This window comes from Homo sapiens, chromosome 2 (genome assembly GCF_000001405.40).
Source record: "Homo sapiens chromosome 2, GRCh38.p14 Primary Assembly".
NCBI classification, from domain to species: domain Eukaryota; kingdom Metazoa; phylum Chordata; class Mammalia; order Primates; family Hominidae; genus Homo; species Homo sapiens.
The window spans coordinates 165,835,945-165,847,996 of NC_000002.12; the positions used below are offsets into that span (position 1 = coordinate 165,835,945).

The 12,052-nt window shown below is 35.8% G+C and overlaps 1 annotated feature.

Moving 5' to 3' along the window:
- Window positions 8,149-8,964: an enhancer, noted in NCBI's record as "NANOG hESC enhancer chr2:166700603-166701418 (GRCh37/hg19 assembly coordinates)". NCBI's record gives its function as "activates a minimal SCP1, AML or CMV promoter by ChIP-STARR-seq in naive H9 embryonic stem cells {active_cell/tissue: H9 hESC(naive)}" and the evidence as "EXISTENCE:reporter gene assay evidence [ECO:0000049][PMID:30033119]".

Consider the following 12,052-nt stretch of genomic DNA (forward strand, 5'->3'; position numbering starts at 1 on the left):
GCTTGCTTTTCAATCTGTAAATCTGAGAATCACTGTATAAATGTTGGTCATAATTATCATCATCACCATTAAATTATTACAAGGAACTGGCTAACTGCCAGCATGCTCTACTATGATCAATCTATATTTAGGTCAATTAAAAATAGATAGATACAGACTTCTTTGCTTTTGTTAGGTTTACTTAACTTTAGTCAACTGTGAATGATTGATTATAGGCTTGCCATTACATTGTTGCTTCAGAGCTTAGATGAAACACTCATTTGGGTAGTATAAAGAAAGCTTAGAACTTGATGAGGCTATGACATCTTTTATTCATTTACTTTTACCTTAAAAAGTTCTCTATTACAAAAATCAATATAGTGTTTGTTGTTAAAATAAATTATAGAGACATGAGTAAAGTGAAAGAAGAGAGTTCACCCCCTTCCTTCTTTTCCATCCCATTCTTTAGAATTAACCATATTACAATGTAACCAATTATTCCTTGTATGTAAATATCATTTTTATATAATGGGATATACACATGTATAATATACATTTTCTATTTCCAAATGAAAAACAAAATCTTTTTTTTGCAGAAAGTTCAAAGTTGTTGAAAAGAAAATCTTTTGCAACAGCTTTTTTGATTTGTTCGTTTCCCAATTTAAAATGTCTCCTGGGCATCTTTCCATGTAAATACATATTCATCAATCCCATTTTAAAAACCATATACAGAGTCATTTAAACATTTTTACTAATTAATTATTGGAAAATTGTTTGTAAAATAAAGGAGACTGCCCTTAAAATAAAATAGCAACTTAGCTAGGATTAAATTAGGCAATTCAGAAAAATGCTTAGCAAATGTTTGGCAGATTGTAAATGATTGATAAATAAATATTAGCCATTATGATATTGATGATAGTGATGATTAAAGATGACTATCTCTCTAAGCTCACTCTCAATAAATTTCTGTTGTCAGAGAGGTGGTTTATTTTATTTAATTGCCCAATATGTACATTTATATATAATATTCCCATTTTATATTTTCATTTTAAGGACGTACTTGGCTGTGTTATATGGTGGAGGTGGGTGCCGTGTTCTGGAAGGACTGTCAGACTCAAGTTGGTTCTCTTCAGGATCTGCCCAACCCATGGCGACCTAGTACAGTGCCAAAATTGAACAAAAAAAATACAATCCATCCATCTGTCAGTTAGTGAGGCAGCAAAGAAGGTATTTAGCTTCTAGGACATTTAAAAACCTAAGTTAATTCTATCTAAAAGAAAGACATCTGTGGGGTGGGACTCGCCTCCTCTGAGCCTTTGAGACCAGTGGGGATTTAAACAGGTATAAATAATGACTCTTGAATAGCCACCAGACAGCCAGTGGTGCAACCTACTCTAGGGAGATGAGTCACAGGCTGAGCCGTGGGTAGTAAGTCCCTAGGAGAAGGGAAGAGGGGTGTCTGGGATCCCAGGAAGAGCAATAAATGCAGTCTGTCAGCTCCGCAGCAGAGGAGGGGCTGTGACAGCAGCCCTCACCCAGAAGGGGTGAATGGTAAATCTACCTCAATAGACAGTGGCCTGTGCATTGTAAATCTGATCATTTTGCTGTGCCCAAAACATCTTAAGTATAATTATACCAAAGCCTGAAAAAAGACTGGCTAAAGAGAAAACTAAAATAGATTTTTTAAAATGCAAACACACAATTCTGCCTACAAAAATGTTAAGTGCCAAGGAAAATATTGTTAAAATCCAAGAGGACCTCCTTTCCTAAGCTGCAGTGTTCAGGAATTTATATGTATATAAGGTTGGTAGTGACCATGGACAAATCATTGCCTACACCTCTGCCAGAACATCTGTCATTTCTCATGAAGCCGGAACTTTAAATGTCACAACTAGATCAGAAATAACATTGATATCAGAACCATCATGTACTTTTTTTCTGCTCTGCATGTGAGCATCTGGGGTGCCTAAAATCCAACCCTCACAGCTCTTGAAAAGTCCTGTGTCTTGCAGAAGGGATGCCTTTCAGTGATGCATCCGTGAGGAGGCGGCGCCTTTTGATAATTCACACAAAGGTCTTGCTAGTAGAGGGAGGCCTTACCTTGACTGGAGGAGAGACCTACGTTTGGATCTCGGCTAAAGTATCTTCCAAGAGCAACATTCTTGTTAGCATAACATGCCATTTTCATGTCCTACAGATTCATAGATTTATGGAGTTTTGAACTAGTTAAATGCCTTAGAAATGACCAATACCCACCCATTTTGTTGATAAGGGACCTGAAGCATAGAGAAGTCAGATAGTTTGAATATTTGTCCCTACCCAAATCTCATGTTGAATTGTAATCTCCAGTGTTAGAGGTGGAGCCTGGTGGGAGGTGTTTGGATCATGGGGGCAAATTCCTCATGAATGGCTTGGGCCATCCCCTTGGTGATAAGTGAGCTCTGAGTTAACACTGAGATCACATAGTTTAAAAGTGTGTGGCACCTCCCTCACACCTCAACTCTCTTTCTTTTGCTTCTGTTTTTGCCTCATGATGTGCCTACTCTCCCTTGACTTCTTTTTGAGACAGGGTCTCACTCTGTCACTCAGGCTGGAATGCAATAGTGCAATCATAGCCCACTGTAGCCTTGAGCTGCCAGGCTTAAGCAATTCTCTCACCTTAGCCTCCCAAGTACATGAGACCATACGCATGCACCACCATGCCCAGGTGATTTTTGTATTATTTTTGTAGAGATGGGGTTTTGCCTTGTTTCCCAGGCTGGTCTCTAAATTTTGTGCCATGCACCACCATACTCAGATGATTTTTGTATTTTTTTGTAGAGATGGGGTTTTGCCATGTTTCCCAGGCTAGTCTCTAAATTTTGTGCCAAGCGATCTGCCCCCATTTGGCCTCTCGATGGGCTGGGATTACAGGCATGAGCCATCACCACACCTGGCTTTGCTTTCTGCCATGATTGGAAGCTTCCTGAGGCTGCTATTCTTCTTGCACAGCTTGCAGAACTGTGAGCCAAACTTCTTATTTTATAAATTATCCAGTCTCGGATATTTCTTCATAGCAGCACAAGAATGGCCTAATACAAAAAGTGAAGAGTTTGCCCAAGTTTAGATAGCTAATAATAATTTTTATTAAATGATATTACAATATAATCTTCACTGGGTTTGTTTATAGATTTTTTTTACTAATGCATCAGTAGAACTACATGTACTTATTGATTGAGGTTTAAGCTACAATTTCAAGCAAACATGTGAAAATAAAGGCAATTCTTCTTGCTCTTTAGATCATTAATGTTTAGTCCTCAATACAGATTTCCACATTCCACTACTTCATTACTATACTACGTTTTTAACTAGAATTTTGAGGTCATATCCGCTGAGAAGTCTTTTTTCCCCTCTAGAATGGGTTGGGTTCCCTCCCAGGTGGGGTAGCCCTATCATCACTTTGGGCTTGCTCTGTGATCCTGTTTGTGACAATATCTTGGGATTGTCTATATAATTTTGATTCCCTAGTTAATTATAAGCTCTGTGAAGATTAAGACTGACTGGGCATTTTTTTCATCATTGTATCCCCAGTATTTAAAATAGTGTTTGCAAATATAAACAGGGATAAATAAGCATTTGCAGAAAAAGGAAGAAGGAAGGAAGCAGAGATGGAGGGAGGGACTCATATAGAAATTGATATGAAAAATGGAATAGCAAATGAATGATAAGGAATAAGAGATAGAAGCAGAACTAAATGTGAAGAATTGAAGAGTTACCTAATTCACAAATTTTAAAATTTCTAAATAAGTATGACAGAGCATAACACTATTCAGCAGAGTCTCCTGTCTTTGTCTTTGTTTGTCTACTTGCAGATGGTGGTGTTTGAGTCATGTGGCAGAAATGCTCCAAGATTTCTGCCTCCTGGTGTTCGCATCTTTGGGTAATTCCTTCCCATTGAGTGTGGCCAGAAGCTCCTGTGACTTGCTTCTAACCAATGAAATATGGCAAAGGTCATCAGGTGTCACTCTGTGATTATGTTACATTTATATAAGATTCTGTCTTGCTAGCAGACTGCTCTAGAGACTCCTTACCGGCTTGATGAAGTTACAATAGCAGCTGTGTTAGGAAAGCCTGTGTGATGAGTAACTGCAGGTGGCCTTTGGGCACTGAGGGTGGCCTCTAGGAGCTGAGGGTAACCTCCAGTCAACACCCAGCAAGAAGCCAGAGCCCTCAGTCCTACAATTGCAAGGAAGTGAATTCTGCCAATAATCTGAATGAGATTATTATTCGAAGCAGATTCCTCCTTAGTTAAGCCTCCAGATGAGAACTCAGCCCAGTTGACATCTGGTTTAAAGACTGGTGAGACAATAAGTAAAGGACTCAACTAAGCCATGCCCAGTCTCCTGACTCACAGAAAGTGTGAGATAATAAAAGTGTTTGGTTTTAAGATAATAAGTTTGGGGGTAATTTATTAAACAGCAAAGGTAAGTAATACAAGGTGTTTGGTTATAAATAAGCTATAAAACTAGCTGAGAGAAAGAGAGAAGGAAGGAAGGAAGCAAGGAAGGAAGGAAGAAAGGAAGGAAGGAAGGAGAAAGAAAGAAAGAGAAAGAAGGAAGGAAGGAAGGAAGGAAAGAAAGAAAGAAAAGAAAGGAGAAAGAAAGAAAGGAGAAAGAAAGAGAAAGAAAAGAAAAGAAATGAAGAAAGGAAGAGAGAGAAAGAAGGAAGGAGAAAGACAAGATGGAAGGAATATGGCCTTAGTTAAATTGTATGGATTTTTTTTTTAGGTTTAATTTGGTGATTTTCAAATCAGTACAGAAAACATCTGAAGAAATTACAAGATTTTAAGAAAATGACAAACATCAGCAATTTACCAAGGCTTCAAGGGAATATAAGAAATCTGATAACTCATCACCACTAAGGCAAATTTGTGTGAGTGAATTCTATGAATACATAGGACTGGACAAGATCTTAAGAAGACAGATGGTCTATACTCATCTTCAGGTAAGGCTTTTCCTAAATACTTCCAAACAATGATGATGATGATGGTGACATCAATACTGTGAGCTTTTATTTACTGAGTTCCTCATATATGCATATCATACAGAATAGGAAGAAACTAATTTTTATGGAACACCTGCAGTTGTCCATGTGCTATACTGCAAACTTTATATAAGTCATCTTATAGAAAATAGCAAGCCCTTACAATAAGTCCCAATTATTTCCCCCATTTTACACACACACACACACACACACACACACACAGCCAGCCAGAGACACACAAAGAAAAAGTATCTTGCTCTAATTCACCCAACAATTAAGTTGTAAAACTATGATTCAAACCCATATTTAATAGTCCTCACGATCTGAAAAATTTCCCAAGTAATCTAATTTCCAACTTCTAGGCCATCTTCTAAGCCAAAAGATGCTAGATAGGTAACCATCCTAATTTTTTCCAATCACTTTACATTAAAAAAAATGTGAATAGGCTATAAGGTAAAACAAATTTAAATATTTGGAAAAGATTTGAAAACACAATTAATAAAAGAGAACTTCAAATGGCTAACAATGTTTGGTAAAATGGTCACCCTCACTAATAACCAGAAAAACACAAATTTAAATGAGATATCCCTTTATACCCATGAGGTTTGTAAAAATTATAATTTTCAATAATACTAGGTGTTGGGGGGACAGTGAGACTTGGAGCCTTTGTACAAGGTTAGTGGGAATCTGGGACTGATGCAGTCAGTTAGCAATGTTTGGAGAAATTGGTGGGTGTACCCTAGATCCAATGATAGGGTCTCCCACGTATTTTGTGGGAGCTAGGAGCTGGTGTCAAACAAGTTCTATTATTAGGGAACAAATAAATAAAATGTATTCAATGCACACTATGGAATAACATGCAATGGTCAGTAGCAGTGAATTAGCACGTATAGCATCATCTTAAAAATAGCATGTTGAGCCAGGTGAGGTGGCTCACGCCTATAATCCCAGCACTTTGGGAGGCCAAGGCGGGCAGATCATGAGGTCAGGAGTTCGAGACCAGCCTGGCCAATATAGTGAAACCCAGTCTCTACTAAAAATGCAAAAAATTAGCCTGGTCTGGTGGCGGCGCCTGTAATCCCAGCTACTCGGGAGGCTGAGGTAGGAGAATGGCTTGAACCTGGGAGGCAGAGGTTGCAGTGAGCCGAGATCACGCCATTGCTCTCCACCTGGGCGACAGAGTGAGACTCCATCTCAGAAAAGAAAAAGAAAAAAAGCATGTTAAGTGAATAAAAAGTATGGCAGAGAATGAAATCTATTGCACAATATCATTTATCTAAATTAAAACATGCATGCATGTAATGAGTTTATGTATTTTTCAAAGATATTTATATATTCAATAACATATATCAAGCTCATTAGAATGGCTGCTTGTGGGGTAATGCGAAATGGAAATGAGGTCAAGAATGAACTGAAAAAACATTATGAAGGAAAAGAAGAGAGAGGCCTGACCAGACAGCTAATGACTGAACATTATTAACTACAGAATGTGACTAACTCATCTCTCAGCACTTGAGGTATCCCCAAAGACAACTAAAAATGTTGTGGAATGAAGCTCTATTGTTACTGGCTAAAGAGCTTATGCTGACCTTGGATATTTGAATTTACAAAAGTATGTACCCAACATTTTATTGGGAAAGGAAGCCACACCAGGAAAATGTGGTCTGAAATTCTGTAGGGAGCAGAGGAAAATTTTTTCTAAAGATAAAGTAATTAATTTCTTAGATTTGTACTTGGAGAAAACATGATGGCAAATATTTTGGCCAGTGTTAGAATTTGTTCATTAGTCTTATCTTAATGGAAGAGAATCTGTTTGCCTTTGAGCAGAACAGTCTTGTGGTAGATTGTTACTCTATGTATAAATAGCAAAAAGAGTCCTTCAGCCTGAGTTCCACTGTCAATCCCGCTCATTCACTCACCAATCAAGGGCTTTGTGACCTGCACACACAGGTTCCTGTGAACACCTTGCTCTGCAAGGCAGAATGCATCAATAGGATTGTTCTTTTGTCCTGGTCAACCTGATTTCATAAGGAAGAAAATACTAGGAAAAGCTAATATAATCCTCCTCCAAATAATCACACAACTTTAACATTTTTAGACATAGGGTCCAGAACACATTTTCAATCCAGTGTTTCAGGAAGTTAGAAATGATACATTAATAAATGAGTAAATAAGTAAACCAAAAAATGAAAACAAGCAAAACAAAACAGAAAACCTAAGATACACGTCTTTACCTTAAATACAATATTTACCCTTGGCTACAAATTTGAGGTAATATGTCCTACAATAAATGTTATAATTTGGCTGAAAGTGATTTTATCCATTTTGATAAGATAGATGAAAGATAAAGAAAAAATAGGCTAAATAAGAAATAACTTCATTTATCTACACTTTTTAAGAATTACGGTTTATCTTATGTGATTCATCACTTAACCTGATGACTACTTTTTGTTAGTTAATTTCCCATTTTAAAAAAACCTAAATGTTTTCAGTAGAATTATTTATTGTTTGCAGTGATTAGAAACTAACTATATAGTTTTGGCACAGAATATCCAAGTATCCATAACAATTAATGTGCTATAACAGTAATGTCTGCAAGGGTCACTGGAATGCGAGGACTTGGCATGATGCAAATAGCCCTGAACTTCCACATGTTTACAAATTCTATTTGCCTCTTCTTGGTACATTTTCTCTCTGTTTTCTTTTACTTCTTTTTACCATGATTTTTTTTAGATGTTACACCCTCCCTTGGCCATCCTCATGCCTACCATGGTCATATCTTTTCCTGTGTGTGTGTGTGTGTGTGTGTGTGTGTGTGTGTGTGTGTGTGCATATATCTATCTATATATATGTAAAATGTATGCTTTTATATATATATATAATATGAATGCATATATCTATCTATATATGTATATATCCATATATAAAAGTCCATGGGTTTTGTGACAACCATGTAGAGAAGTTACTTGCTGTTTACTTTAGGGTATGTGTACCAACCTCAATTATCCAGGGGAAGTTCTAAAAACTTTGTGGTACCCAGAGTAGGGAATCCTTTCTGTTCAAAATTATTTTAAATACATTGTCACGGTTTTTATTTGGATTTATCTGCCTACTAATAGATATATGTGTTCCATCTGGGGTTGATAGTTCATTTCTTTCTATAAGGTGATCAACCAAAAGCAACAGATAGAATTTTAGTAGTACCTGTTTTATTTTGCAGCTCCTGAATTTTACCAATGAGTTAAAAAAAAGGTGTTTTTTTTTCCCTTTGGCTAACTCCAAAATATTCAGAGGCTGACAAAATCTGAATCTTATTTAGTTCTTGTTATAGCAACAGCAAAATTTAGCATTGGAATGCACAAACATTTCTTCATCTGAAGAGGTATGAATAACTTCTCAGCCTCTTTTGTCATTAGAATGCTACTCTCCAGTTGCAAAGAGTAAACCTCGTGAATGGGGCTATGTCTCCACACTTAGCAGTGGAATTGTAATAAAATTACAGTAACCACCTTTTTGTTAGAAGTTCTCTGAAGTTGAGCTATTAACATAACCAACAGTACCTAAAGTGTGACCTGCAAACAGAGCTTTTCAAACACCAAATACAATGCCCTATTCATGGTCGATACTCTATAAATAGCAGATCATCATTTCCCTTCCCTTAATCCTTAGAATAGCCTTAACTAGTAAATACTGTTATCTGATTTTTAAGAATAATAATAAAAAAAAGAAGATGTATCTGGCTATCCAAGCTGGTTACACAAACTCAGTGGCAAAACTATTTCTGAATTGGTCTATATTCTCTCAATTTAAGAGCCTCCCAGCATCGACCATCATGCCTCTTTGCAAAAGTGCAATTGTTAAAGAAAGATTGGGTGGTTTGGGCCCTGCACCATGGGATGCACCAACAATTTCATCAAATGACCCTCAGAACAGCCTGAATGTCACATGAATAATTTTCAACATGTAAGCACAGAGGGCACACAAGGATAGCAACACTTAAAAGCTCAAAAAAGCATGAATTGCAATATGCTGGGCTCCTATAATCACACATAATCCAATAATGTCTTAAATCAGTATTAAAACAAATATTTTTTTCAAGGGTTCACAGGTTATTTTCATGAAAAGAATTTTAAAAATGAGAAAATTATCTTCTAATTTGTGCCTTTATTTCTTTAATATTATTAAGTAATAATATACTGTCAACCCTGATGTCATACTGAGAAAATATTTCTGTGTAAATCTAACATCTTCATTATACTCTCAAGCCACAAATAACATTATATCACAAATTTACATGTAATAGATAGTTTCCCCAAAAAGAATTTCATTCCTTAAAAAGTGACAAAGTTTTAGTTGTATTTCTGAATAGTAACATTCAGATAAAGATCACCAACAAGTGATAGGTGGCAATTTTCAATGAAGAAAACTATTGAAAATAATCAAGTTTACCAGTGGAAGAAATAAAATAATCTACTCTTGATGTATTCTGTGATATTATAAAAACTTTTCAGTGATGGCAAATGTAAAAAGAAATATAAACATACATATATTTTTTTTCTGATATACATATAAATGAGAAGAAATATAATGGCAACTACAATTTTAATGTAGTTTTTACCTTGATTTAAGAATGTCCAGTGGAAAGATACTTTTAAAGCATAATGCAACAATAATTAAAACATGTACAATTCATGAAACTTAATATCATTCTTATACTTTCCACCTTAAAGGTCAGAAGTGAATCCATGTTATAATAATTCCTTTTGTAATTTATCTCAATTTAGTAGCACACGTGTGAGGTTAACTTATCTGCAACTTTCCTTTAATATTCTAGGACTTAAAAGTTCTTCCAGGGTTTTAAAAATATTTCTATTTTCTTCCCCTTTATGTATAGGAGGAGTTAGTTGTTTTAAAAAAAACAAAACAAATACCTGTGAAATGTGAATGGGCATTGGTTAAGCATTATATTGGTTTAAATTAGGAGGAGATCAAGGAGAAAATACTCACAAACAGATAATTGTCATCCAGACTCTTCAATTAGTTACATTTTCTTTCTTTTTTCTTCTTAATGAATGAGAGGCAAATAAATCTTTGGCATTCCCAGTGCCTCTGAAGTGTAAACTCCACCAGATCATCTAGATGCACAACTGTCCGACAACATTATAATAAAGGCAGTAAATAAATTTGTTCAAAATACCAGCCGAAATGCCTGAGGTTTCGTCAGTGGCCATGGTTGAAGCTCATCATGATTTGGACAGTGCAGCCGAAACCTCGAAGACTTATACACCGAGCAACAATGAAGATACTGTATAATCAACTAGGATTACAGAGGAAAAAGCACAAAGTGCTTTCAGTCCATAAAAGAAGTGATTATCACGAGGAAAGAGAAGTGACTGTTGGATTTAAAAGGCATACAGAGAGAGAGAGAGAGGAAAAAAAATATATATTATATATATAAAATGTCACCACCCTACCCCCAGAAGATGTTGAAATCACAAAGAACAATTTTCAAAGGAAATATAATAAGCTTACAGATGAAAAACCACTTACACAAACCATTTTCAGCTGTACACTTTGTTAAATGATCTGCAAAATTAGAAAAAGAAACTGAATCGTTGTTGAGGTACATTATCTAAAGGGTACACGGTATCCAGAAATTCTGTTGCCTCTTTCATCTGAGTCAATGTGAGGTTTGCATTAGTAAAAATTGTGTATTTAAAAAAAAGAAAACAAAAAAAGAAGAAAGCTAGAGAACTAGTATCAAGCCAAGAAACAAAAGGTAGTCAACAATGTTCTTTTCTCAATGCAGAGAGGGCTTATTGAAATATAAGCAAGAACCTTTTTTTCCTTCAGCTAGTATATATGAGTTAAAATTTTCCAGTTCTTCTGAAAAAGGTCATTTCTATAAATGATGCATTTTAAATACCATTTAATAGCTGTTATTGAAATTTGGCTCATGAAAAAACTACAGTTATATTTTTTTGTGTGTAATCTGGCAAAAATGTCACTATACATGTCAGCTAATTGTGTAATATCTTGCTGCTGTTTTGTTTCCTGTGCACTTCCATCAACAATTTCAGCTTATAACAGTGATTCTTTTCCTTTTGCATCTCAATATACCTGATATAAACTTTTTCTCCCATCAATAATAGTGATTCATGACAGTAATCATGAAATCTTTCATAGGAGACAATGTTGTTAGAATCTGTCTCTAGGGGAAAGTTGAGAAGGGATTGCATAGTTCAGCATTTTCCTCAGGAGATTCGGATGTGACCCCTAGAGGTTATAAACCGTACCACCTTTTGAGAATCACTGATCTTCCTAGGGGTTATAAACTACCTTCCCTTTTGAGAATTACTGATTTCTGAATGAAGACAAAGAATTTATAGTTTTTCTTTAAGCCAAATTAACATACTTCTAGAACACAGTGTATAGATGCTAGACACATCATGGGCATTCACTTACATTTGATAGAGCTTGCACTTTGATTTTTTTTTTTTCTGGTAGCAATAAAAGATTTATGCCCATTCACCAGCTTAGTTGTGATCACCATGTAAGAAGGTTGTCTGGGGTTAAGGTACTAGATAGGCCATTGGATAGAACAAAATTTCACTTTGGCTTATTTGCTTAGCAATTCCAACCAAAGCTAATGAGCTGTAGATCAAAGCAATTTGTTGACAATATTAATGGCAGTCTCAGGTCTAAGTAAATTATCTGACCTTTCACTCCGTTACTTGGCTGTCAGGAAGCTGAAAGGAAGAGTTCAAGCCTAGTCTTGGTTGTGACTACATTTGCTAGCACCTGAAATAATGAGTTTTGGTAGCCACACGATTTTTTTTTGTAATTAATATATACTATTTGTACACTTTTATGCAGTACATGTGGTATTTTGTTACATGCATAGAATGTGTGATGATCAAGTCAGAGTATTTAGGGTGTCCAGCACCTTGAGTATTTGTCATTTTTATGTGTTGAGAACATTTCTAGCCCTCTCTTCTAGTTATTTTGATATATATACAATACACTGCTGCTAACTATAGACATCCTACTC